Here is a 27,404-nt window from a genome sequence, read left to right as displayed (position 1 = left end):
ACCTAAAGCCCAGCACTTCAGCCACTGCATTCAGAGAATGACAGCAGTCTGTGGCCAGGCAGAGGCATACTCCCTTCCATGGGAGTTTGGTCGAGGAAAATCACAAACTCGGAGTTCTCCGCAAGATTCCAAAAGCGCCTCTTGGCTTGTATCAGATGCATTTACCTATTTCCTCATCAGGTCACAGTCATTCACCTTGCTCATTCATTCAAATATGTTTAAGTTGCTATAAGCAGAAGATTCTGATCACCAGAAGCACACGATTCTGATGGAAGAATCAATCTCTCTCACTCACTCACACACACACCCCTGCGCCACAAGCAGCTGAGAAGTGGGCAAAGGGAGCCCAGGAAGGCTTTCTCAAAGAGGGCCAGGATTTCCTTAGGCTGCAGTGGGTGGGTAGGGAGGGGGACAGGACATAAATTGAGGTTCTAATATCTTTGGGCATGGGAGGGAACAGTGAGTCCCAAAGTAAAACAGGAAGAAATCCTAGGAGCTGAAGTGCTGGTCAGGCGAGACAAAGAGTTTGACCTTTGCCACAGGAGCCATAGTCGCAGCAGTTGCAACATGGTAAAGTAGAGTAGGTCACAAGAGGTAAAGGTCTCGGTGACCCTCAAGAGTGACTGCTATCCAATACTGGCAGCCACTTAGTCATGGGAGGTTACTGAGCACTTGAAATGTGACCAGTGTGACTAGGGCACTGAATTCTACTTTAGGTTAACTTGAACTCTCCACCTGCAGCTGGCAGCTACCTACTGGACAATGCAGCTCTAAAGGGTGTTCCCAGAAGGCCCCAATGAACAGGAGGGCTGGATACATGCTGCAGCCGCCAACACCTACCTTGCTGGGTAGTGCTCGGTTCTGCCACCAAGGGTGGGGGCGATGGTAGGCCTGGGCTGTGCACCCTCAGCAGCATGGCTGGGCCAGGAATCAGAGTGCTGGAGCCATGGCTCAGGTGTTGGTCCCAGCCCAGCCTCAGTGCTCACAGGACTGTTACCTTCATCCTCAGGGGCCTGTGTAAGTCACAGTAAGCTATGACTTCATGTGGGTACCCTAGAGATCCCAAATTAGCTCACAGTGGGGTTGTGAGGTCCTGTCTAGGACTGTCCCCCACCCTCCATTGTGATGGCCCACAGAGAAGCCAGGGGGGCCAGCACCACCAGACCAGCACACTTTGTGGGTGCTTCTGCCCTTCCACGTAGAGCAGCTGTCAGGAACTCGGGACACTTTCCCAGCCCAATTCACAGAAGGAAGGCCAGAAGCTTAACCCAGTAGTGTCTGAGTACCTGCTTGGCAAAGCCTTCTACGGCCAAAATGAAAACCCTGAATCCACTACCAGGTGCTCTAGGTAAGACAAGACAAGCCAAAAGCCAGAAATACCATCTCTGGACATGGCCTCAAAGTAAGAGCTCCGCCAGCCCAACTAAAAGTTAAACCAACTCCTGCTCTGGAAAACTTAGTACCCGAGGTTGAACTGCCCAGTCTCTTTCCTGCTCTGCTGGCCAAATCCATGGCAGGTCCAAGTCACATGCCTCTTTTCGTGAAGGAAAAATCATCAGCACCTCCTACAAAGGTCTTCCTAATCACTTCATTTTGGGGGTAGGGGTGTGGATTTTAAAACTTTGAAGACTATGTCACACTCACCTTGCCCCTCACCTCTGGCCTTGACAACCATCTTGCTTTACAAGTGAATTCCGCCAGGTTTCTAAAGATGGTCACAACACAGGTGCCAGGAATGCCTTCCTGGGTACATGGAGTTCCCGCCCACGACCACAGAAGACATTACACAAAACTGCCCAAAAAGTATGAAATGGCAATCTGACAACAACCTGACTTAAAAGCCAGTAAAGACATCAGAAAAGATGTTGGTGTGCAGCAAGAAACCCTTCGCAGCACCTCACATGGGCAAAACCAAAGAGGTAAGACCCTGATCTTCCTAATGGCAGACAGTGAACTACGACCACCCCAGAAATCACATAAAAGCATAGAAGGTAATTTCTATTCAACAAATAATTACTGGCACTCACAGAGAAAAGCATGGTGGGACACAAATTAATCAGGCAAGGCACTGCCCTCGAGGCACTTTCAGTCTTGGCGGGGAGTAGTGGAGGGCAGAAGAAAAAAAAAAAAAAAAAAAAAGCCCAAACAGGCCACCACGGTAGCTCACGCCTACAATCCCCAACACTTCGGGAGGATTGCTTGAGGCCAGGAGCTCAAGACCAGCCTGGGCAATATAGTGAGACCTTGTATCTACAAAAAAAAAATTTTTTTTTAATTACCCAGGCATAGTGGCGCACACCTGTAGTCCCAACTACTCGAGAGGCTGAGGTGGGAGAATTGCTTGAACCCAGGAGGCAGAGGTTGCAGTGAGCCGAGATCGCACCACTGCACTCCAACCTGGGCAACAGAGTGACACCTTGTCTCAAAAAACAAGCAATGACCTTTTCTCCAGTGGGCCTGTTACTGCCACTCTCTGCTACTGACCAACTGAAAGTTTTGTCCATAGGACATGGAAGTGCCCTGTTAGGGGTGAAGGAGGAACAGAAAATGGGGTGCCAGTGTCCTCAGACTAGAATGTTCTAGTATCTTGGGGTAGGAATGAGAGAATATAAGCCTGAATGCCAGCATTATGGGAGCCAAGGAGAGTTGGGATGCCCCATTCAATATATAGACTTTCATTCAAGACCCATCTTCAGCCAGGCACGATGGCTCACACCTGTAATCCCAACACTTTGGGAAGTTGGAAGATTACTTGAGCCCAGGAGTTCGAGACTAGCCTGGGCAATGTGGTGAGACCTCATCTCTACAAAAAAAAATTTAAAAGAATTAGTCGGGCATAGTAGTACATGCCTCTTGTCCCAGCTACTGAGCAGGCTGAGGTGGGAGGATCACTTGAGCCCAGGAAATCAAGGCTGCAGTGAGCTATGATGGCATTACTGCACTCCAGCCTGGGGGACAGTGAGACCTGTCTTTAAAAAAAAAAAAAAAAAAAAAAAGTTGGGGGGGACCCATTTTCACCACTCCCTGGTACCCAAATCCAGATCGCCACATTTATAACTTCTCTAAAAAGTGAAGCCAGACCTTCTGCTGGCCTGGCCTGGCGGAAGGGCTCCACAGGCCTAGTTGTCTGCTGACTTCAGCCACCCAACTGAAGGCCCAATCCATGCCTTCAAAGGTGCCTGTCCCTGCATGGATCGGCTGGCTTCTTGTGGGCCACAAACCACGCACACCTTCTCAGCAAGCTACTGAACGATGGGCTCCCCCAAGACAAGGAAATCAACCAAGAAAGGAGGGGCACTGGATCCAGAAACGAGACAAGAGAAGGGGAGAGGGAATTCCAAGGCTGAAGGGGAAGCAGAGCCAGGGAAAAGGGATGCGCCCAGGAGAAACGTGGAACCGTTGCGAGTACCTGGTATGTGGAGCCACAGTGAGAGCCACTTTCCCCCAATGACAGGCATTCCACAGCAATGGTGGAGGCTGCGAGGTGGTCAGGGAACTGGTGAGAGAGACAGAAAATTAAGCAAAAGAAACTAAGGAAATTAACTAGGAGAGGAGAAGAAGAAAATGAAGGAAAAGAAGAAATATGGGAAACTAAAAACCTTGCAGCCATAAACAAGGTTCATATTATAATAATGTATATTCTGAAGATCAACTTGACCAAAACTTGGGCTATCTCTACACTGGGATGATGAGGGAAGAAAAAAGCATAGGAACGAGCTAAATCCTATCTCCCACAGCAGAAAAACAAATCAGATAATAATCCTTAAAAAGAAAGAAAATAATACTACTGACAATGGTGGGGACAGCTGGAAGAATTGAAAGTAATGGGGGTGGGGGGCAGTGGGCAAAGGACTGTCCTTTCAAGCCTTGTACACAGTCAAAAGCCAAATCCTTTCTACAAGTAATGTTTTGATAGAAAACACGTTATTAAGATACATACAAGTAGCAATGCATGCTCTATTACCACACAGCTTTATGTTTCTTATTAACCATCCTAAATTTGCATTAATGTCAACTCATCTGTGTACAAACTTGTAAGGCCTTATTTTCCTATAATAATTGATGCCAATTTTGCTTCAGAGACCCCCAGCTGCCCAGCTGACATAATAGTAATATCAAAAAGAGAGCATGCTTATTGACAGGTTAGATCCCTCTGGAAGCAAGGCATTGAGGGCTAGCCAGCATCAGATGGCTGGACCTCTCAGGGCCAGTCATTTAACAAAGAGTTTAACACGCACTGTGAGCCAAGTTCGCTGGGCACATAAGGCAAAGAGATCCCTCAGGAAGCAAAGGTGGAAGGAAGGGTAGAGAGTCAAATTACAGGTAAGATACTGCAAAGATTCCGCGACTTAAATATAAAGACCTGCAGCCTCTCTCAACTGATTGAGAGAACTGAGCCCTAAGGCTGCCCTTGCATGTGATGAATTACCTATATCCCTGTGCGTGTAGCAGGGCACCAGCTGGGAGAGTTGAGGAACGGTCACCTAGTCCTTTTCTGTGTGCTGTGGTTGAAATGAGAAAGGCTGGATGGAGCACTTGGAAGGGGAAGCTGCAGACAGAATGAGGCGGGAATGCCTCTTGGAAGAGGTGGCATCAGAACTGGAACACTTGAGAACTGTGCCAAGATCTGGGGGGAAGCAGGAGGAGAGCGGGGAGAAAGTTCCAGGCAGGAAGAACATGTGCCAAAGTCCTAAGGCAGGAACAGGCTTGGCTGACTCAAGAGGTAGCAAGAGGGGAGGTGAAGATGAGGCAGAGCATGGCTCTCAGAAAAAGGGCTCTCCAACATCACTGCGCGGAAGGCCAGTCGGACTCGCAAGAACCCCAAGGGACACGGTCCACCAAACTTTCTCCAGAGGGGAAAGCGATGTGCCTGAAGAGCCAAGGGGCTTTAGTTCTTAATTAATAAGCAGAAGCTGCTTCCAGACTTGATTCCTGAAACAGGATGCCTCTGTGGCTGGTAGCATGACAGGTACACTGTGTAGGTAAACAGGGGCTTGCTTTTACCTTTAAGTTCTCAGCGAATACACTTGCCAGGAAGCCCTGTGGCCACACCACACATTAGCCTTACAGAGCCACCACTAAGGGTAAGGGATAATAAGCCCCCCTTACTCTCAGGCTCCCTCAAAGGAACCTGTTCCAATAAGGCAGTCCAGCCCCAGGAGGCGGACACACACAGCCTACGTAAGCCCTTGCCACTTCTTTGAATCAGACTTTGCAAAAAACAACCTTGCTCTCCAGCCAACATAAACCATAGGCAACAGAGGGCCTTATAAGGCTTGAAGCTTTCTTAATCAGAAACAGTTAGATGGGCTGGAGTTAGCAGCTCCAAGTTAGAGGGAAGGAGGAACTGAAAAGGAGAGAAGAAAGGGTGGCCTAGGGAACCAGCAAGCTTGCTGGTCAAACTGCTTTTTCATCCCTCTTCAGCTTCTGTGTCATCACAGTAAAGAATTCTCACCGGGGGTCTATGGCCATGCCTCCTTTCATGTTTGCATTTTGGTTTAAGCCAGAGGAATCAGACTGCCCACCAATCCACACTATTAGAGAGTTTTTAAGTGTCCATTTAGTGGCCAGCCTTTAGGCTGGGCAACTTCACACAAAAATGAAGTTATGGGGCCAGGCACGGTGGCTCACACCTGTAATCTCAGCACTTTGGGAGACCAACATGGAATGATCACTTGAGCCTAGGAGTCTTGAAATGGGTCTGGGCAAGGTGATGAGACCCCATCACTACAAAAAAAATTTTTTTAACTAGCCAGGCATCATGATGTGCACCTATAGTCCCGGGTACTTGGGAGGCTGAGGCAGGAGGATCCCTTGAACCCAGGAATTCAAGGCAGCAGTGAGCTATGATCGAGCCACTGTACTCTAGCCTGGGTGACAAAGCAAGACCTCATCTCTAAATAAATAAATAAATAAATAAATAATGTTTTTAATGGGGTTATGTGGTTTCCTGAAAAATTGCCTGCTGGGGCAACAAGGGGTCCTCACTCCCCAGGCAGCAGTCTGACACCTAGCTCCCCAGCTCCCCAGCTCCCCGGGCTGCCTCAGTCACATGCCTGCCTGCACCAGGAGGCAGGCTGGGCCCCTGCCACAGATCCAGAATAGAAAAGGCAGCCCTGGAGACCTCTTAAGCAGCCACCCCCTCCACACACCCCTTGGCAGCTTCCAGGGTGGCTTTATTCTCCTCTCTCTCCTGACGAGGCGGTGGCAGCAGAGACAGCAGCAGCTTTGGCACCAGGACCTGTCCCGTACACTGCAGCCACATGCACTTGGCCCTCCTAAAGGATGCCACCTGCTAAAAATAGCACCAGCACATGCTTGGCCAGGTGAGCCACACCAAAGCCAAAGGACAAAGCAGGGAGGTTATTTGCAGCACGGCCTTTTCTCCCAGAGACAGCTAAAGGCACAGCTGAGTGTGGGTCTCCCTCCAAGGCAGTTCAGGAAAGTGAGAATCACTCCTGCTCCTTTTTCTTGGGAGTGGCAGAAAGGAGGGGCAAGAAGGAGTGTACAGAAGACTGAACTGTCCTTCAGATCTGTCATCGACCCAACCTCACAAAGGCACATCCAGGCCCAGGCCAGAGAAGGGATGGGGGCTGGGGCTGTGCTTGAAAAGATCTTACTGCCTCCTCTAATCAGGAGGCCAGCTACTGCTGGGTGACAGCCTTTGGAGGGCCAGGAGATGGTCTGTGACCTCCAAGTGAGGTCTGACAGGTGTCGGGAAATTAGTGACTTCAGGATTGTCTTTTTCAATCAGCTCAGTCTTCAGAGCAGTTTCCCTGAGCCCTCAGGCACAGCTTTTTTTATTCATAGTCATTACTTGTGCATTTCAAAAGCACCCGATGGTTGCATAATTCTGATGATAAAATATGGCTTTGGAAAGACAAGAGAGTTAAGAGTAGGATCCTGTACTTCAGTTTCCCATAAAATGAAGATGTTCTGTAATAGGGAATATCTCCCTCACAGAGTTGTAACGAGGCTGAACACACTTAAGTCAGACTCCATATGTGGGATCAATGATTTTAATCTTTGTAAAACCCAGTTTAGTTTCCTGAATGAGGATGTGGTGATAAAGGGGCAGTAAATAAGCAACAACCAATGAGCATGGGGGGCGGCAGGGGCAGAGGAGGAGGTGGGGAGCACGCCCCAGCCCAGGTCCAAGCCAGTCCAGCCCTTGCTGTGTCCAGGGACCAGTTTACTCTACTCGGATCTTGTTTCTTCACCCACAAACTAATCACTGTACTAACCTCATAGGGCTGACAGAGAATAAAAATGACACAGAAAAAAAAAAGCCACTAATATGCCAGTAGGTGCTCATCAGTAAGTGTCCTTTATGCTGCCTGGCTCCAAGAAAAGAGATCTCACATTATATATACCAAAGGTCAATCTAGCAGGGTTCAAACAAAGCACACCCAGGACTAGAAGAGGGGGCATCTGGAAACAAAGAACTCCCCACCCCTGCCACAACAGAACACGTTAGCATCCACGCTGTGGCCCCACTCTCCCCCAACACCTTCTGTGAAGAATGGCCCCTAACATTTAGGTGGACTGGAAACAGCAGAATGAAAACACAACCTCGTTTAAGAGAAGGGCCGCACTGAGATCTGTAGGAAGTCATCAGGTGGGTGAAGGACCAAGTAACAATATGTTGACATCTGACATTTGGAGACCAAGGACAAACCAGCAGGGATCTTTATGATAATAAACGGCTTCAAACCAAAAGGGCTTTCTAAGGGCTTAGCATCTGGACCTTTGCTTCACGCTCCTGTCCCCAGGTCCTTTCTGAAGGTCCTCACTCAAACTGTTTCAAAACTGTTCGTCCACTCCCAACTGGCAGACTAGAACTCACTTGTAGTATGCCATGGAGACAACCAGTAGATAATTTGTCACCAAAGCTGTTGGGTTTATGGACTCTGGAAGACTAAGCTCAAACATGTTATGCTTTAGAGATTTACAAGTTGAGACAATTAAGCTTTTAGAGTTGGAGAAAAAAAAACTTTCTAGGCCGGCGCTGTCCAACAAAACTTTCTTCGATTATGGAAAATGTTCTTGACCTGTACTGACCAGGACGGCAGCCACTAGCTACACGAGGCCACTGAGAACCTGAAATGTGGCTAATGTCACTAAGAAATTTTTTTAAAAATACTTTGAAAAGTTTAATTAGTCACACAGCTAGCAGCTACCCTACAGACAAGGCAGCTCTAAACTCCCCACACCCAGGACAAATTTAGGCAAATAAAGCTATCTTTAAAAATAAAAAATATTTAGAACAGTAGCACACCTTAGAGCTAAGAACTTGAGATGAACAGTGAGTTGTTTTTTTTCCCCTTAAGTCTTTGACATGTACTACCCATTGAGCTGTGCTCCCCAGCCCAAACACATCACTCCAGTGGCCCCTGGGCACGTTTGGTCTAACTCCAAGGCTCCCAGGACCATAATCTGAATACTGATAATTTTGACCAAACCTCTTTTAGCCACTGAATAAACCAAGATCTGGAAGGCCAACCAGCCTGCCTAGAATCACCGCCAGGTTTCAGCTCTGAGAGCTGCAGCAAGTCCCAGGCTCTTGTCAGCTAAGCCCAGCAGTGAAACAAGCCTCATCAGCCCTAGGTTATACATATTTTTACTTCCAGGACTCACCTCAGGGCCCTTCTTTGCTCCCAAGTGCAACTGGGCCTTAGTGACACCTGGCTCGGTGAACACAACCAGCCACCATTACAGAACAGGGAACACAATGTTTACCACTGACTGCTGCAAACTATCAAACCAAGCCGGAAAAACAACCAGATGGTGAAGACCCGGACAGAATGTGGACAAGGCTGCACCATTTAGTAAAATGAAAAAGTTAAGGCAAAGGACACCTTGAAAGCTATTTATTGCTGGAAAGCTAGTTCTCAGAATGCTGAATGATAACACACACAATGTTAACAATCTACTTAGAAAGCAGCAGAAAGATTAGGAGAAAAGCCCAGGGATTTAAGAATATTCCTTGGTTCTTCTCACAAAAGCCATCCAGAGGACCTAGTTTTAACTCCACACCCACGCTTCCTAGTTCCTCTACCCCTCAATTTGAATTTGTGTGACAGCCACTGAAACAATCCAGAATGACCTCCAGCTTCACCCTCACTGTTCTCAGAGGTGTGAGGATTAAAGGATTAGTGTGCTCATAACTCACCTAGCACAGTAACTATCAAGAAAGAGGCATCCTCTCAAGTTTAGCTCCCAGCTCCCCCACTACCTGTTTCTCCAGCCAGACTCTGTCCTACTTCAAACATGCTCACTGATGATGTTTTCCACAGCCCAAGCTTCAAATTAGGTACCAAGGCCAGGAGGTTCCTTCAGTGGGATGCCACATGTGATGGGAACTTAATGTTAAATGATCATAAAAGTGAAAACTGCCTGAGGTATTACACCAGGAAGGAACATGGAAGAAACAGAACTTGCCCTAAGAAGCAAGATTTAGGACTAAAATACACCCCCCACCATAAAGATGAGCAACTCTCAAACAGTATATGAGATGATTTCAATGGGACAAGATGCCCACAGGATCTACTACCTCCCCATAGTGGAAGAAAACGCCTGAGAATGACAAGCTGAAGGTATTAACTCATACCTGAAACAACTGACTTCCCCACAATAGGAAAACAGACCAAGCTACAGAAAGGCCCAATCATTCAGACTCACAGGGAAGATTAGGAAGGAGTGACCTAGGGGAACTCTACGGCCAGCTCTCTGGGTACATTGGCTACAAGCTGCCTGCTCTTCAAAGCCCTGAAATGCACACACAATCAAGTCATGTTGCAGGCTGGGAGCAGGAGGCTAGCCAGCAAAGCTTAGGGAAACCAATTCGTTTTTCCTCCCAAACAAGCTTCTGGGTCAGAGGCTAAGGAGAGGGGTGCTTTTAATAGAATTCAAGTCACTCAAGTAATTCAAGAGAAACAAAGTCAGTCTCAGGGATTGTTCAGGGAGGAGAGGGGAAGAGCAATGCTTAAGCACCTATCACAGTCCCCAGTATCACAAATATGATCTCCATTTGTCTTTAGGACAGGAAAAGGGAATACTGTAGAGGCTAACACCAGCCTTCCCCTAAAATATGGCTGCAACCCAGCCTATGTCCAAAGCTCAAGAATAATTTGGGTTACCAGGCAGCAAGATAAATTGCTTTTAAATATTGATGTTCAGCAACCTTACACTGGAGACATATCGACTTCAGCACCTGAGCAGGCCACTTACAACAGACACCTCCACTGTCACCCTGCAGTGGCCAAGTGAGAATGCATTTCCTAGAAACAACTGGGAGATGGGAGAGATATTCCTACAAGGAACTAGACCTAGACACAAATCCATTAGACCTGTCTCACTCATTGGCTAGGATCTGTTACCTGCAAGTTCTGAGCCATCATCTGACAACATGCATGAAGACAGAGCCTATTAATCCAGTAATGGACTCAAGCTTTAGTGATTTGCATGCCTGTAGGATCCAGAGGACCTCCTCTAACCTAGGGCCATATTTCAAAGAGAATACACCCAAGAATTATGCAGAACCTACAAAACTAGTTAGAGGTTAAAGAAAAGTTCAACACAAGTCAAAAGGTTCCCAAAACATAACTTCACTTGCTTCCAGTGCTCAGGGTCTTAAATAATCAGCAGGTGAACCACTTCAATGCCAAGATCAGAGGAATTATATAAATGATCAAGTCAGGCAGCCTTCTTCATTTCAAAGATGTTCTGTACCTTTAAGAGCAAAGTGGATGGGTGGTGCTAAGAGTCCAAGCTTTGCTTTCTAAATAAAGAGTTAAAAAAAAAAAAGGTACTAATTTGGGAAGGACTTAGCAGTTACAAGAGCTTGTAAGGCTACTAGTTGCCAGAATTAATAGCTTTTTGTGAACGGTGTTCCTTGATCAGTAACTAACAGATACTGTTGCACCAGGTCCAGCAGCCTAGATTTCACTGGAGACAAATCTAAACACGAAGTAACGCGCACTACAGTAGGGGAAAGATACCCAGGTTAACCTCACTAATTGCCCTGCGCATACACCCTACCCAGCTTGAGAGGCCTCGACTCGCACCTGGAGCGAAGTCCACCGGGTTTGTGTTAACGGCGGCAGGAAGGCGCCGCCACCCAGGACATCCCCCAGGAGAGGAAGATCCCGAAACGCCCAGGGCTCCCATGCCGTTCCGAGTCGCCACAGCACCGCCTACCACGATCAGCACCTTTCTTCTCCTATCCCTCCCTGGAAGGGAAACAGGAAGACCTTCAGCTAGGGCACAAAAGAGTTGAACGCCAGAAAGCCCGCGTTCGAGGCATCCAGCCACTGCCTCTCCTAGCACATCGTAACCCCAAAACTGGCGCGGTCCCTCCAGATCGCAGACCCCGGGCCCTGGGCCGCAGGCGGGGCCGGACACGTGACCGTCGGGGCCCCCGGGCGTGAGGTCGGCAGACACCCCAGGCTGGACGGCCTCCACCCCTCCGGACACGCCTGCAGGGGCTACGAATGCAAATTCCCCCCGAGACGCCCCTGAGCCTCCGACCTCCAGACCCCAATTCGGTTCGAACGGTCCCTCAGCCCGAAACACGGTTGGATCACAACCGGCCGATGTCCCGGCCCATCTTCCCAGTTCCCCTGGCTCGCCGCACGGAACTCCCAGGGGCTGCGCCGGCGGGCGAGCCGAGGGTGAGAAGTTGGGCGAGGCTCCAGAAGTGAAGGGGCAGCTCCGGCTCAGACTGTGTACACACGACCTTTGAAAAGTAAACGCCCGCGGGGCTGGGCGACCTTGGGTGGGACGCGCTCGGGTCAGCCTCGCAGGCGGGTGTGCACGCTCCGGTTAAGTTGAGGTGCAGAGAGGCGACCCGGGCGTCGCGCCCTCGCCCCCCGCCCCCGAGGACAGTGACGCGCGTGGGGAGGACGGCGCGGCCGCAGAGCGCCGCCCAGAGCCGCGCACACGCGATCTGTCAGGAGCCCGCGGGCAGACAACCGGCGGGGAAGGACGAGAGGGGGCGCAGACGAGGGAGGGAAAGATGGGCCTGCCTGACAGCGCGCGGCGGCCGAGAGCCCCCAGGACACCTCTGCGTCCGGAGCGTCCCGCCCCCGGGGTACCTGGAGGGCGCGTCGCACCCTGCACCTGCACCTCAGGCTCCCCATCGCCCCGACCCCGCCGCCTTCGGGTCTCCGGCAGGGGGTCCCCGGCGCAGCTGCCCCCGACCTACCAGCTCCTCGGCTACCATCGGGGTGCGGGATGCGGAGTCCGCGCGCCGCCGCCGGCCCCCGGCTGTGCCCCGCGGCCCGGCCCGCAGCGCCGCGCTTCCGCAGCTCCCCCACGTGCTAGCCCAGGCGGGTGGAACACAGAGACATTAAATACTGAAGACGCGCGGCGACGTGCCCGCAGCGCGACGCAGGCCCCGCCCCTCGCCCTTGTGCCCGCGCGCTCCCGAGCCCGCCCCGCTCACCTGCGCGTGCGCGCCGCCGGCCGCTCCCGGCAGTGCCTCCGCCGCGCCTCTCCCAGCTGCGCCAGAGGGGGCGCGGTCTACAGCGCTGGGCTAACATCCCGCCGCCGCCCGGAGCCGGGTCTTGCTCGCGCTCTCGCGAGAGAGCCGTCATCTCTCCGGTGCCCGGGAGAGGGGCCGGGCGGGACGGTACAGCAACCGGAGGAACCTTGATTCCCTGCCCCGCAAGCCCAGCACCGGTTTTGCCGCCTTGTCTCGAAGGGTCAACCAGGCCATCTCCTGCCTCGGGACGGAGAGCGCCCTGGAAAAGGCGGAGGGGCCGGTGAGGAGCAGGGCTTCCCTCGCTTCGGGGCTTTGAGCTTCCCTGTGACCGTCATTTCCTTGTAGCGTATAATTGGGTTGGCCATTAATAATTGCTCGATAACTGCATAATGGTGAAACCTGGTACCACTCAAATGCAACTTTCTTGCTCGTTTTCACAAGTCGATGTTATCGAAATGAAGCACTTTTCTCTGAATTGGTGTGGGTTTTGGAATGATTTTTGCAGAGATAGTCACGGTGAGTCACTATCTCTGCCAGGACCTTGGGAAAATAAATTCCTCCAAAATAAATGGAGAGGGTAGGGTTTTGGCTGTCCAGCCCTGCTGTCATCCTTAAAACAAAGTGACTTTAAATGAACATTTGTTTGGCCAAAATATAGAAAATAGATCATGCTAAGAACTAACAATTACTTGGGAAAATGCTTAATCTTCACTAGTGATCAAATGCAAGTTTAAATGACAGATGCCATTTACTATACCTAATGAGATTTAAGTCAAATTCATATATATATGAATCCCAATTGCATGGTGTGGTAGATGTCAGGAAGGAAACAAATAGGAAACTGACATAGGAAAGAAAGAAAAAGAGCCCTATTTTTTATTTTTTTTTTTTTGTGAGACGGAGTCTTGCTCTGTCGCCCAGGCTGGAGTGCAGTGGCACGATCTCGGCTCACTGCAAGCTCCGCCTCCCAGGTTCACGCCATTCTCCTGCCTCAGCCTCCCGAGTAGCTGGGACTACAGGCGCCTGCCACCACGCCCGGCTAATTTTTTGTATTTTTAGTAGAGATGGGGTTTCACCGTGTTAGCTAGGATGGTTTCGATCTCCTGACGTCGTGATCCGCCCGCCTTGGCCTCCCAAAGTGCTGGGATTACAGGCGTGAGCCACCGCGCCCGGCCAAAAAGAGCCCAAATGTTTTAGGTCCTGTGGTCAGAAAAGGCCTAAAATGAAATTTAAACTGAGACCCATTGGATGAGAAGGAACCAGCCTTGCAAATTGTATACGGGCATAAGGGTTGGAGGAGTATTCCTAGCAGATGCACAACACAGGAAAAAGCAGGAAACAACTTCTGGTAAACTGGAAGACCAGTGTGGATGGTATGTATTGAGGGAGGGAGTGTCAGGAAAGGAGATAAAGAGGATCGTTTCTTGTCTTTGTTTTTTGGGGGAATAGGGGCCTGGGCTGCCTTAGTAAATACTTAGTATTTGCCATAGTAAATAGTGAAGCTTGGATTTTATTCTATTCTGTTCAGTCCCAAAGCCAGTCATGACTCTACCTCAGGGCCTCCCTCCACATGGAATATTCTGCAAAGCTCACTGTCTTCACCTCTTTCAAGTCCTTTGCTCAAAGGTCACCTACTCAGACTCAGTGAAGTCTTCCCTGGACTCTCTGTTTTATTTTATTTTTTATTTTTTGAGGAGTCTCTGTCACCCAGGCTGGAGTGCAGTGGTGCGATCTCAGCTCACTGCAACCTCCACCTACCAGGTTCAAGCGATTCTCCTCCCTCAGCCGCCAGAGTAGTCCCACTACAGGCACGTGGCACCATGCCCAGCTAAAATTTTTTGTATTTTTAGTAGAGACAGGGTTTCACCATGTTGGTCAGGCTGGTCTCATACTCCTAACCTTAGGTGATCTGTCCGCCTCGGCCTCCCAAAGTGCTGGGATTACAGACGTGAGCCACCGTGCCTGGCCTGGACTCTCTTTTAAATTGTAAACACACACACACACACACACACACACACACACACACACTCTCTCTCTCTCTCTCTCTCCCCATCCCTCACCCCATCTTTCCTTCATAACCCTTACCCCTGTCTAGACTTCATTTATTTCATGAGGGCAGGGATTTTTGAGGGCCTGGTACATAGAGGGTGTTCAGTAAAAATGTGTTTCGTGAATGAATAGGAAGCTATTAAAGAGGGTTAAGTAGAGAGTGACATAATTTCTGTTTTTAAAAGCAAGCTGTAGCTGCTGTGGGAAGAACAGATTAGAGAGAGATCAGTGTCGAATCAGGGAGAGTAGTGAAAGAGGATGCTGGACGTGGTTCAGGTAAGAAATGATGCTAGTTTGAGCTAAGGATTATGGCTCTGGGGATGAAGACACTGCTTTGGACTTAAGATATATTTTGAAAGAGGAGCAGACTTACTCATGTTGTTGGTGGTAAAGAAAAAGGAACAATGAATGCAATGAATGATGATTCTTCTGGCTTGAGTTACAATGTGAACTGGGGTGCAATTTCCTGAGAAGGAGAAATCTGAAGGCAGAGAAGTGTTGGTTTCATTTTTGACCCATTGTTTTTGTGACATCAAAGTATAAATAGTAATTAGGTTGGATATGCAAGTCTGGAGCTCAGAGGAGTGGTCTGAATGGGAAATACAAATATGGTTTGAAAATCATGTTTAAAAAGATATATTAAAGACAATGCTAGGCCGGGCACGGTGGCTCACACCTATAATCACAGCACTTTGGGAGGCTGAGGCCGGTGGATCACGAGGTCAGGAGTTCAAGACTAGCCTGGCCAACATGGTGAAATCCTGTCTCTACTAAAAATACAAAAGTTAGCCAGGCATGTTGTGCACCTGTAATCCCAGCTACTCGGGAGGCTGAGGCAGGAGAATCACTTGAACCTGGGGGTCAGAGGTTGCAGTGAGCTGAGATCGCATCACTGCACTCCAGCCTGGGTGACAGAGCAAGATTCCATCTCGGGGAAAAAAAAAAAAAAAAAGGAAAAAAAAAAAAGGCAATGCTTAGCAGTAGTGGAGGTAGGAATAGAAAGAAACTGAGAAAATGATGTCCAGGGATGTAAGCCCTGGAAGCATTGGTAGGAAAGAAAAACAGGAAGATGGAAGGAGTAAAACAGCGAGATGGGGCTATGAATATGGTTATGAGAAAGAAGGACAAAGACCGGCGGTGAATGAGAGAAATATGTCAGTCATACCCGATGCAAGGGGACATGGGCACAGCCTGCCAGAAAAAAGGAATGAGGGAAGAAAAGAGGAGTGTGTTAACTGGAATACTAGAGAAAGTGCAAGATACAAGTCAAAGGGGGAAAGGTGAGAAAATAGGATTGACTACAATCACCATTAGACCTCAACCCAGTACCTGTGGCTGAGGAAGTATCCACAAGGTCTGAACAGTTCCAAGGTCACCACGGTGGCCCTAATATAAGATTAGAAAGTAGAGGAATGAGAAGAGAGGTGAGGGTGGAAGGTGATCCTAAGAACTTGGCCATGAGGAAAATAAGATAAGGTTGTTAGGCTTCAGCTTTGTCAGCTCAAAAATGGGCAAGGTCTGCCTAAGGCAGGAATTTTAACCTAGGATGCATAGGAATTTAACCTGGGACATCAAGGTTGTCCACAACACCCTGAAATCATTTGCATGATCTTATAAATACGGCATTTTTTTCGGTACAGATTAGTTATGGATCATTTCTATCAGACTCTAATCCTGACCTTAACAACAACAACAACAAATTAGAATCTGGTGAATAGAGCAAAACATTTTATCCAGAAAGGAGTATGTCAGTCAGAATAAGAAGGTAAAAAATAAAAGTATTCGAAGGAGACCAAAAAAATAAAAATAAAAATAAAAATAGAAGAAGTAGTAAGTGTCTGTGAAAGGAAGAAGGTGTCCAATCTCATTTAATCAAGAAGCTGGGCTCTCTGAGAAGTCAAACCAGTCAGATCTGAACCCAATGCTATTATTCATTTAAATTCTATGACCCAAGCCCCTCACTCTGACTCTGTACCCACCCAGCAGCCTTCTGATCATTCTCACTAAGGAGAGAAGCCATGATCGGACTGATGAAAGGCACTGGTCCACCAATGACATTTTTATCATTATAAATTACATAACCTACCCTCTCTCATTTTCTGTATCTTGTACATCATGTGAATATTTTTAGTATGAGTCAGCTTTCAGTTCTGGGACTTGAACATGGTGAAGTTTCTGAACCTGTTTTAAAGCTAAGTGAGGGCTTGACACAGGACCATGGGAAAATCCATCAAGGTAAATGCCACCTTGTGAGTCTCTTTTTAAAAGGTAGTTAATTCTCATGCATGTAATCCCAGCACTTTGAGAGCCCAAGGCAGAAGGATCGCTTGAGCCCAGGAGTTCAAGACCAGCCTGGACAAAATGGCAAAACCCCATCTCTACAAAAATTTTAAAAATTAGCTAAACAGGCTGGTACTTGCCTTTAATCCTTGCTACTTGCAGAGCTGAGGTGGGAGGATTGCTTGAGCCCAGGAGGTTGAGGCTGTAATGAGCTATCATCACACCACTGCACTGTAGCCCAGGCAACAAAGTGAGACTCTGTCTCAAAAAAAGAAAAAACAAAAACAAAAAACAGTTAGCTAGTTAATGAGCCGGGTGCAGTGGCTCATACCTATATAATCCCAGAGCTTTGAGAGGCAAGGCAGGAAGATCTCTTGAGGCTAGGAGTTCAAGAGCAGCATGGGCAATGTAGCAAGACCGTATATCTACAAGAAAATTTTAGAAATTAGCTCGATACGTGGCCAGGTGCGGTGGTTCACACCTGTAATCCCAACACTTTGGGAGGCTGACGCAGGAGGAGTGCTTGAGCCTAGGAGTTCAATACCAGCCTAGGCAACATAAGAAGACCCTGTCTCTTACAAAAAATAAAAAACATTAGCTGGGCATGGTGGTGCTCACCTGTAGTCCCAGCTACTCAGGAGGCTGAGGCAGGAGGATCTGCCTGACTCCAGGAGGCTGAGGCTGCAGTGAACTGTGATTGTGCCACTGCATAGCAGCCTGGGCAACAGAGTGAGACCCTGTCTCAAAAAAATTTAAAAAAATTTGCTGGATGTGGTGGTGCACTCCTGTAGTCTTAACTACTCCAGAGACTGAGGTGGAGGGATGTCTTGAGCCCAGGAGTTCAAGGTTGCAGTGAGCTATGATCACACCACTGCACTCCAGCCTGGGCAACATAACAAGACTCTGTCTCAAAAAAAAAATTAGTCAGTTGGTTTTCTTCTCTTGGCAGTCCCTCCAATTTCAGGGGCACATGTTTGAGAAATGCCCTACTTTTCTATTGGAAGCATCTACAGAAAGAACTTTTTTAGTGCTAATAAATACGAACTGTCTCCTTTATATGTATACACTGAAGGAGCCCTCCCACACTCCGCCCCACTCCCAGTTCTCTTAAAATGGAGATGCATTTGGTTATGCCCCAGGACCATGTGTGCCTGCAGGGAAGAATAAATAACCCACTCCTAGAGAAGTCAATGGAAAGAGCTGGGGGAATAACAATACTAATGGCACTTAAGTAACTAAGGCTTAATGAGCACTTAATGCCCAGCACCATGCAGAGTCCTTTATCCTAATCCTCCATCAACCTCAAATACTAGATACTCTTGTTATCTGTATTTATTTCTGTATCACAGCAATCTGTATCACTGTATTTCTGTTCCACAGACCTTAGTCACACAAGAGCGATGGCAAGATTTTCACCCAAGCCATCTGACTTGGAACCCATGGATTAACCAACTGCCACTGGAGGCAAATCCAGAGACCAAGGGAGCAGTTTATACAGAAACAGGTCTGTTATGGGTGGAATTAGGTCCCTTCAAAAGAACGTTGAAACCCTAACCCCCAGTACCTCAGAACGTGACCTTATGTGGGAACAGGGTTATTGCAAATGTAATTAGTTAAGCTGAGGTCATCCTGGGATAGATTAGACCCCTACTCCAGTGTGACTGGCGTCTTTATAAGAAGACAACCAGGCCGGGCGCAGTGGCTCACACCTGTAATCCCAGCACTTTGGGAGGCCGAGGCGGGTGGATCACAAGGTTAGGAGATCAATACCATCCTGGCTAACACGGTGAAACCCTGTCTCTACTAAAAATACAAAAAACTAGTGCAGCATGGTGGCATGTGCCTGTGGTCCCAACTACTTGGAAGGCTGAGGTGGGAGGATCACCTGAGCATGAAAGGTTGAGGCTGCAGTGAGCTGTGATGGTGCCACCACACTCCAGCCTGGGCAAATTATGTTTTGGTCGGGCGCGGTGGCTCATGCCTGTAATCCCAATACTTTGGGAGGCCAAGGTGGGCAGATCGTGAGGTCAGGAGATCGAGACCATCCTGGCTAACATGGTGAAACCCTGTGTCTACTAAAAATACAGAAAAATTAGCCGGGCATGGTGGTGGGCGCCTGTAGTCCCAGCTACTCGGAAGGCTGAGGCAGGAGAATGGTGTGAACCCAGGAGGCGGAGGTTGCAGTCAGCCGAGATCGCGCCACTGTACTCCGGCCTGGGTGACAGAGCGAGACTCCATCTCAAAAAAAAAAAAAACAGAAGACAACCATGTGAAGGCAGGGAGACACAGAGACAGCACCATGTGACGACAGAAAATTGGATTAATATATCTATAAGCCAAAGAATGCCAGATCGCCAGCAAACCACCAGAAGTAAGGAAGAGGCAAAGAAGGATTCCCCTACAGGTTTCAGAGAGGGAGCATGGCCCTGCTGACACCTTGATTTGGACTTCTTCCCACTAGAACTGTGATACAATAAATTTCTGCTGTCTTAAGCCACTCAGTTTGCAGTATTTTGTTACAGAGGCCCTAGGAAATTAACACAGTGCCCTTCTTTCTTGAACCATGGACAGCAGTTGGTAAAAGGGAACGTGATGTCATTCAGAACATGATAAAAGAGGGCTGTCCGCTGACTCCCCTCTGAACCTCAGGTGCCCTGGCTTCCCAGGGCAGGAGCCCCATCCGGGGGCTGTGATGAAGGGGCCTGCTACCCAGGCACCATCACCACCACATACTACTTGGGAATTTTTTAGCTAGTTATTTAAGATCCTGATTCTGGTTCTGTTTAATGGGTGGCTGTCAGGAATATGGTTGGCCATATTTCCCAGCTTCCCAGAGCCCCCTCCATTCTTCCCAGCTTCTTCCAATTGGAATTTAGTTTAGAAATGGAGCCTAAGAAACTCTGCAGACTCCTTCAGGTAGGGTGAGGTTCTATCCACAGCCAATTTAGGTCCTTTAACTACAGCAAGGTTCATGCATGTAGAGAAGCAATTAAATCATCAAACACTGTTACTTACCTCATTTGATTCAATGGGAGATACCTTCTGGTCCAACTATTGAGATCCTCCTGGAGGCCACCCAACCATGCTGGATGCCTGTGTATGGGCATTTGAATTGCTTGAATCTGTAGGGAAACTGCAGTGAACCCTTTCTGGGTAAGGTTTGCAATCTCATGTACCATATTTATTTTGTTAGTTTGCATACCCTTAGGCACACAGTTGCAGCTGAGATGGTCTGAAACAGCAAGACCCAGAAGTCTCGCAGAATTTCAGGGAGACAGGAGCTTCCCTGGGGATGAGACATTTGGCCAAGGTGACCCACTCCTAGGAGTGATGGGGCAGAGTACATAGCAATATGAGAACTTAGACACTGCACCCAAATTTTCCATTGCCACCAACCTCCACACATCCCCTCCTATTTCTCTGGAACCATTTTCTGGATTTACCTATTCTAAAACCTAGCAAATTTCTTAGTAATCTCTGTCTCCCATTTGATCAGGCACACCAGTTTCCCACAGATGAATGCATTCTACCCAGGACTGCCATGAGCCTATTCAGTGGCATTATGCAAATTAGGCAACAGGTGTTCCATTCCATAGACAGGCACAGCCCTGTGCGAGGCTTCATGGTGAGTGGAGTGCAGAAGCCCAGCCTGGACTTCAGCCCCTACTTGCCCTTGGGTTGGATGCCCGTGTGCAGGGCTTGACCTGCATGGCCCTCTGAGACACTTTTGTAGTTGGAGGTGAGTCCTAACAGAGCTAGTGCTATCTACCATGACACAACCAACCAGACCTCTTAGGATTTTGTGCACACACTGCAATGGCTTCATTCATTTAATTGCTGCAAATGCCTAAAGTATTGCCTTGCCCAGCACAGATACTTTAAAAACACTTGTTTGGTGATAACCCTAGAACTGATATCAAGATTTTTGCTTACGGTTGGGTGCGGTATCTCTCATGCCTATAATCCTGGTGCTTTGGGAGGCTGAGGTGGGAGGATTGCTTGAACTCAGGAGTTCAAGACCAGCCTGGGCAACATAGCGAAACCTCATCTGTACTAAAAATAAAAATAAAACAAATTAGTTGGGCATAATGGCATGCACCTGTAGTCCCAGCTACTTGGGAGGCGGAAGCGGGAGAATCACTTGAGGCTGGGAGATCAAAGCTGCAGTGAGCTATGACTGCACCACTGCATTCCAGCCAGGGCAACAGAGTGAGACCCTGTCTAAAAAAAAAAAAAGACAATTGCATAATGTTTAAGAAACTGGGCTCTGGGAATATTAATCAGTACAACCACTTTGCACAACATTTGGAAAAAATCTAGTAAAGTTAAAGATATATGTAAACTGTAATCCAGCAACTGGACTCCTAGGTGGAAACTGTTACTGATCTGCTTAGGGAGACATGTATACAAATGTCCATTGAGACATTGTTTGTAATAACAACAAAAAAAAATTCTTTTTGGAAACAATTTCCTTCAACAGGTGAATGGCTAAATAAATTATGGTGTAGTTCTACAGTGAAATATTATACAGCATCAAAAAGCTACATATATTAATGTGGATGAATCTCAAAAATGTATTTATTGACTGAGGAAAAGCCATTTCTGGCATGGAAGGGTGTAAACAATATGATTCCTTTTATGTAGTTTTTTAAAACCCACAAAACATTGCCTGTGAATGCATGCATACGTCGAAAAAACAAAAACAGGCCTGAGTTGCCTGTCATGAGTGACACCAGATTCAGGTTGATGGTTACCTTGGGATCAAGGATAAAGGAGGAAGAAAAGGATGTAGATCAGTTGAAGTTCACTGTGTACCCTCCTAATGGCAAGTACACAAGGAACTTAAGCTGAATCTGTAATATTTTATTTATTTAAAAGCATTGTAAAGACTTGAAGCAAATATAAAAGGTTAAGGCTTTGGGGAAGCAGAAGTACATTGGTGTGTGTTACATTCATCTCTATAGTTATTTGTGTGATTGAAATGTTTTATAACGAAATATTTTCTCTTTGCAAAGTGGGGTTTGAATCTGCGCTGGCCCCTAGCAGTGTGACCTCAAGCAAGTTACCTAGCCTCTTAGTTTCCTCATCTGTAAAATGAAGATAATCATAGGACCTATTTCATGGGATCATTGTGAAGATTAAATGAAATAATCTATGTAAAATACTTTGCACAATGCTGAGCACAATAAATAAAAGCTATTATTCCATTTCAAGTGCTTTCATCAATCAATCAAGAGCAAGTCAAAGTTCATTCAACAAATATGTATTAAGTAACTTTTTTGTGCCAGGCCTTGTGTAAAAGGCTGTGGTTACCAAGGTAATTTACACCTAATCTGGTAGGGAAGGGAGACGTGTACGTAAGTTAAGGCTGCGTGCAGCAGAGTCAATGTCATGATAGAGGTTAAGTGCTAGGTGGCATGAGAGGTGGTAAATGTCAGTGAGTTTTATTCTGCTTGTGTTAGGGTTTGGGAAGACTGAACATATTGCTGATACTCTTTCTGCATTTGGTTTTCACCAAAATAAACCCTATTGCTTCAGTTATTTTTGTTGCATAACAGAGCACCTCAATATTTAACAGCATTTAAAACAACAGCTGATTTTTAGCTCATCAGGGATGGTTTGTTTCTGTTCCACATATTGCCAACGGGGTGACTTAACTGAGGATAGAGGATCCAAGATGGTGACAATCATGTCTAAAGCCTCAGCAGTGATGGCTGAAAAAGCTGGGCTGGCCACACATTTCTTCTGTGGTCTCTCTAGAAAGACTGATTCTCTTTACATAGTGGCTTGGGGCTCCAAGAGGGTGAACACTGAAGCTGTCAGACCTAAGTCTGGGTGTGATGTAGTGATGCTGCATTCTATTGGTCAAAAAAAGTCACAGGCCAGCCCAGACTTAAGGGGGGGTCAATAGACCACCTCTTGATGGGAGAAGCAGCAGGACATTGTGGATATCCTTAACCTACTGCATCTATTGTGTCTTATTCCATTTTACAGCCAATTTATGAATTAGGAGGCACCTAGCTGGTGAGATTTTGGGACTGCTTTAGGAATCAATGGTGTGAAATTAATTAGGTTGGTGCAAAAGTAATTGTGGGTTTTGTCATTAAAAGTAAACTGTAAGGCAGGGCATGATAGCTCACATCCCAGCACTTTGGGATGCCAAGGTGGGTGGATCACTTGAGGTCAGGAGTCCGAGACCAGCCTGGCCAACATGGTGAAACCCCATATCTACTAAAAATACAAAAATTAGCCGGGCGTGGTGGCGTATGCCTGTAATCCCAGCTACTAGGGAGGCTGAAGCAGGAGAATTGCTTGAGCCTGGGAGGCGGAGGTTGCAGTGAGCCGAGATCGTGCCACTGCACTCCAGCCTGGGTGACAGAGCAAGACTTTGTCTCAAAAAAAAAAAGTAAACTGTAATGGCAAAACTCACCATCACTTTTGCACCAACCTGATAGCATAGCAGCAGTTGTAAAACACAGGGTTCATTCTGATTCAAGCAGCAAAGAAAGAAAAAAGAAAACAAAAAAAAAAATTAAGTTTTTGAAAAAGACGAAATAATAAAATTTTAAAGCCCAACAATACAGGGTTCAAATCCACATTACAATACTAACTCACTGTATAACCCTTGGGCAAGGCATTAAACCTCTCTTCCCACCCTTGTCTCATCTGTGAACTGAGGAGCAGCAAGATCTAACTTCCTAGGGTATTCAGAATTATAGAATATATATTAGAATTATATAATAGAAAGAATGCAAGGAAAGTGCTGGCCCATAGAGGGTGAGATGGTCAAGCAGTGCCATAATAATACTGTTGTTATTACTAGGCTTCTTGCCTTTCTTCTTAGGTAAAGTAATAGGACTTGTATTTTTAGAGTCATTTATTGATTTGTCATGGGAAAAACCAACAGACTTCTAGTATTGTCTGCCCCTCTCTGAAAACCTCAGCAATTATGCCATGGAGTTGGGGCATGGCTTTGTGAATTTGTTCAACCTTTTGGGAAGCAATTTAGTAATCATTAACAAGAGACATAAAAAAACGTTCATATCCTTTGACCCAATAACCAGACTTCCAGAAAATTATCCCGAGGGAATTGGTTCAAAACAAAAGCAAAATCCATACATATCAAGCTCCTTAGGGCAACTAAAAATAGAGAAATAGCTTAAAGGTCTGATAGTAAAGGAATGGTTAGCTAAGTTATGATACAAATAAATACATGTTGGAATATTATGCAATTCCTAAAAATGACAATTACTGTATGGTAGCACGGAAATTTAAAAAAATGAAATGCTAAGTGACAAATTCAGAATTCCAGAATTTCTCTATATGAACAAGGATGAGAGCCAGACATTGAAAAAATATCATTTGTTTGTGTTTGGAAAGTTGTTCTGTTTTGCTTTGTTTTGAGACAGGGTCTCACTCTGTCACCCAGGCTGGAGTGCAGTGGTGCATTCACGGCTCACTGCAGCCTCAACCTCCTGGGCTCAAGTGATTCTCCCACCTCAGCCTCCTGAGTAGCTGGGACTACAGGCATGAGCTATCACACCGCTGGGATTACAGGCATGAGCTGTCACTTCTGGCCGGAATTGATTTTTCTTATTTAAAAATATTCTTTATTGTTATTTTAAATCGAAGTCAGGAAAAAAAAATGTAGGCAAGACCATTTTGAAAGATGATTTATTTAAAAAGAAAGGCCATGTAATAAATGCCAGAGAGTGAAGTCCAGAACATTTAAAAATACAAGTGCTTAAGCTTGTCACTGGAGATTCTAATTCAGAGGGTCCCAGTTGGGGAAAAACCTGTATTTTTTCAGAGCTCCTCAAGTAAGTTTGATGTGAGACCCACGAAGGTGGACACTCATTATTATCCTTTCAGATAGTGTAATAAGCACCCTGATCAGAAATAGCAGTCCAAGGAAAACTTACATAATCACAGCTTTTTTCTCCCAACAAAATATGTTCCTATTTGTGGAGCTTTTATATTTCCATTTATTTAGTTGTACTCTGTCAAATTTTTAGCCTTTGTACATAATGCAGAACACAGAAAGGACAGCTTTTGATAAACACTTGTGGTTCTGTATAATGTAAGGAAAAACACATGGCATGAGAGCTGATGGCCTGGGATTTAGCAGGAAGGGAAACAAACAAAAAAAATGTGATCTCAACATCGGTTAAAAGATACTGATGGGAATTCCAAGGACAATCTCCCACTGTGACCAGCTGTGACCCTTTCCTGAGGAACAGACATACTGGGTAGCCTCATGAGATTTAATGTGCATATTTTTCTTTCTTTCAGATGCCGGCATTAACCCACAGGGAGTTATTGTTACAGACTGAAGAATAGAAAAAGAAAAAGCCAAATAGAGCCTTATTCCACCCAGCTTAGCTTCCATAGAACATTGTGAATGAGAGAGTAGATTCTTGAGAAAATCCTGGGGTTACCCAGTTTTCATGACTCGTTTCGTTAGACCATCATTTCCCAAAGTGTGTTCTTTATAAAAAGTAGTTCTTCAGAAGGCTGGAAAGTATTGTTTGGAAGGGGGTTCCGTGATGAAGTCAGTTTGGAATGCAGGCTTTACCCAGTTTTGAGAAGATTCTTTGCAGGACTTCTCAGGGCCTTTGTGAATCTCCAAAGAAAGAATGTAGTGTGAAGTATGAAAACTTTCTCCTGGCTGATGGAACACACTTTGCAAAGCACTTCCACAGACCAATATGATTTCCAGTAAGAGCTAAATAAATTTTGTTAGTTGTTAAGGCATAAAACATTAATATAGGATATTACAGTCCTAGGCTTACATTACTTAATTTGGATTTTTTGCAAAAATTAACTTTAATGTGAAAAATTAGGAGACAATATAGAGAAAATTCAAGAGCCTCTCCAGATAAATTCTTAGAACTAATGAGAAAGTTCACTAAAGTTTCTGGATATAAAATGCCCAGGGCACCGGAGGGGGAAATACTTTCTTGTATATTAATAGCAAACAATTAGAATAATTTTTAAAATACCATTTATAATAGTACCAAAATCTATGAAGTATCTAAGAATAAGTCTATTAAAATATGGCCAAAACATTCATGGAGAAAACTTATAGCCTTTATTTAAAGACATAAAATAATTCTTAAACAAATGGAGACATTATTAAATATGTTTATGGATAAGAGAGACTCAATGTAGTAAAGATGTAATCTTCTCCATCTTTCACTTCCTTTGCTTCCTAATTAAGACTTATATCGCTCTTGGCTGCGCACAGTGGCTCACACCTGTAATCTCAGCACTTTGGGAGACCAAGGCTGGCAGATCATATGAGGCCAGGAGTTCAAGACCAGCCTGGCCAATAAGGCGAAACCTTATCTCTACTAAAAAATAAAAAATAATAATAAAAAAAAATAGCTGGATGTAGTGGTTCATGCCTATAATCCCAGCTACTTGGGAGTCTGAGGCAGGAGAATCACTTGAACCTGGGCAGCAGAGGTTTCTGTGAACAAAGATTGTGCCTCTACACTCCAGCCTGAGCAAGACTCCATCTAAAAAAAAAAACAAAAAAACGTATATTGTTCTTCTCACCCTTCTTTCACTGTCAGAATGTCTTCTGCCCATCTTAGCAAGCCTCTAGTGAGACACATTTTGGAGCTCCATCTAAAGATCCTCAATAACCTGATGTTTGTAAGGTTTCCAGTAAAGTACAAAAAGCTCTCAAGCTGGGCACGGTGGCTCATGCCTGTAATCCCAGCACTTTGGGAGGCCAAGGCGGGCGGATCACGAGGTCAGGGGATTGAGACCATCCTGGCTAACACGGTGAAACCCTGTTTCTACTAAAAATTCAAAAAATTAGCCGGGCGTGGTGGCGGGCGCCTGTAGTCCCAGCTACTCAGGAGGCTGAAGCAGGAGAATGGCGTGAACCTGGGAGGCGGAGCTTGCAGTGAGCTGAGATTGCACCACTGCACTCCAGTCTGGGGGACAGAGCACGACTCCATCTCAAAAAAAAAAAACTCTCAACGCATTTTAGTGTAATGTCAGATTCTTTTTTTTTTTTTTTTTTGAGACAGAGTTTCGCCCTTGTTGCCCAGACAAGTGCAGTGGTACAATCTCGGCTCACTGCAACCTCCGCCTCCCTGGTTCAAGTGATTCTCCTGCCTCAGCCTCCCGAGTAGCTGCAATTACAGGCATGCACCACCACACCTGGCTAATTTTTGTATTAGTAGTAGAGATGGGGGCTTCACCATGTTGGTCAGGCTGGTCTCGAACTCCTGACCTCAGATGATCCACCCACCTCAGCCTCCCAAAGTGCTGGGATTGCAGGTGTGAGCCACAATGCCCGGCCTGTAATATCAGATTCTATGAAGGGCCTATGCAACTTATTTGTGTCCTCCAACTGCTAGATATGTCTTTAAATGCATTAGCTAGAAAGGGCTTTGGTTATGCTCAAAATTGCCCAGTTTAATTTTACTAAATGTAGTGTAGTAGATGTAACTGGAGGTAGTTTCCTGGCTTACAGTTCTCCCAGCAGCCACATTCATGCTACACTTTTTTCTAATAATAGGCTCAATTCCAAATCATGGAGGTGGGCAAGTGACCCAGGTAGATCAATTATAAT

General features: G+C 46.4%; 1 protein-coding gene and 1 long non-coding RNA gene across 9 annotated transcripts in view, besides 9 other annotated features; one reads left to right on the top strand and one right to left on the bottom strand.

The window, feature by feature from the left end:
* Nucleotides 1-12,358, bottom strand: part of AKAP1 (A-kinase anchoring protein 1) — a 36,099-nt gene extending 23,741 nt beyond the window's left edge. The window contains exons 1-2 of one of the 8 annotated variants that reach the window (NM_001242903.2): nt 11,530-11,848; nt 841-1,013 (exon numbers count right to left, since the gene is read on the bottom strand). The gene's annotated coding sequence lies outside the window, so the exon portion shown is untranslated. Of the gene's footprint in view, nt 1-840; nt 1,014-1,644; nt 2,116-11,066; nt 11,232-11,529; nt 11,849-12,205 lie in introns of those variants that run through there. The other 7 variants (NM_001242902.2, NM_001370423.1, NM_001370425.1 and 4 more) reach the window with 7 other exon arrangements.
* Nucleotides 4,221-4,720: an enhancer, noted in NCBI's record as "H3K27ac hESC enhancer chr17:55170245-55170744 (GRCh37/hg19 assembly coordinates)". NCBI's record gives its function as "activates a minimal SCP1, AML or CMV promoter by ChIP-STARR-seq in naive H9 embryonic stem cells {active_cell/tissue: H9 hESC(naive)}" and the evidence as "EXISTENCE:reporter gene assay evidence [ECO:0000049][PMID:30033119]".
* Nucleotides 5,643-6,192: an enhancer, noted in NCBI's record as "H3K4me1 hESC enhancer chr17:55168773-55169322 (GRCh37/hg19 assembly coordinates)". NCBI's record gives its function as "activates a minimal SCP1, AML or CMV promoter by ChIP-STARR-seq in naive H9 embryonic stem cells {active_cell/tissue: H9 hESC(naive)}" and the evidence as "EXISTENCE:reporter gene assay evidence [ECO:0000049][PMID:30033119]".
* Nucleotides 11,280-11,782: an enhancer, noted in NCBI's record as "H3K27ac hESC enhancer chr17:55163183-55163685 (GRCh37/hg19 assembly coordinates)". NCBI's record gives its function as "activates a minimal SCP1, AML or CMV promoter by ChIP-STARR-seq in naive and primed H9 embryonic stem cells {active_cell/tissue: H9 hESC(naive and primed)}" and the evidence as "EXISTENCE:reporter gene assay evidence [ECO:0000049][PMID:30033119]".
* Nucleotides 11,280-11,981: a biological region, named in NCBI's record as "H3K27ac hESC enhancer GRCh37_chr17:55163183-55163685".
* Nucleotides 11,312-11,401: a silencer, noted in NCBI's record as "silent region_8746". NCBI's record gives its function as "represses an Ori minimal core promoter by ATAC-STARR-seq in GM12878 lymphoblastoid cells {active_cell/tissue: GM12878}" and the evidence as "EXISTENCE:reporter gene assay evidence [ECO:0000049][PMID:35858748]".
* Nucleotides 11,682-11,981: a silencer, noted in NCBI's record as "silent region_8745". NCBI's record gives its function as "represses an Ori minimal core promoter by ATAC-STARR-seq in GM12878 lymphoblastoid cells {active_cell/tissue: GM12878}" and the evidence as "EXISTENCE:reporter gene assay evidence [ECO:0000049][PMID:35858748]".
* Nucleotides 12,022-12,601: a silencer, noted in NCBI's record as "silent region_8744". NCBI's record gives its function as "represses an Ori minimal core promoter by ATAC-STARR-seq in GM12878 lymphoblastoid cells {active_cell/tissue: GM12878}" and the evidence as "EXISTENCE:reporter gene assay evidence [ECO:0000049][PMID:35858748]".
* AKAP1-DT (AKAP1 divergent transcript) lies at nt 12,566-19,310 on the top strand. Its single transcript, NR_186437.1, has 3 exons — nt 12,566-12,764; nt 18,194-18,317; nt 18,901-19,310. It is a non-coding gene; the product is annotated as an AKAP1 divergent transcript (long non-coding RNA).
* Nucleotides 12,822-12,901: an enhancer, noted in NCBI's record as "active region_12425". NCBI's record gives its function as "activates an Ori minimal core promoter by ATAC-STARR-seq in GM12878 lymphoblastoid cells {active_cell/tissue: GM12878}" and the evidence as "EXISTENCE:reporter gene assay evidence [ECO:0000049][PMID:35858748]".
* Nucleotides 17,815-18,553: an enhancer, noted in NCBI's record as "NANOG-H3K4me1 hESC enhancer chr17:55156412-55157150 (GRCh37/hg19 assembly coordinates)". NCBI's record gives its function as "activates a minimal SCP1, AML or CMV promoter by ChIP-STARR-seq in naive H9 embryonic stem cells {active_cell/tissue: H9 hESC(naive)}" and the evidence as "EXISTENCE:reporter gene assay evidence [ECO:0000049][PMID:30033119]".
* Nucleotides 19,311-27,404: the final 8,094 nt, after the last annotated feature.

Source organism: Homo sapiens, chromosome 17 (assembly GCF_000001405.40).
Source record: "Homo sapiens chromosome 17, GRCh38.p14 Primary Assembly".
NCBI lineage: Eukaryota > Metazoa > Chordata > Mammalia > Primates > Hominidae > Homo > Homo sapiens.
This window is presented reverse-complemented; position numbering and strand designations above follow the sequence as displayed.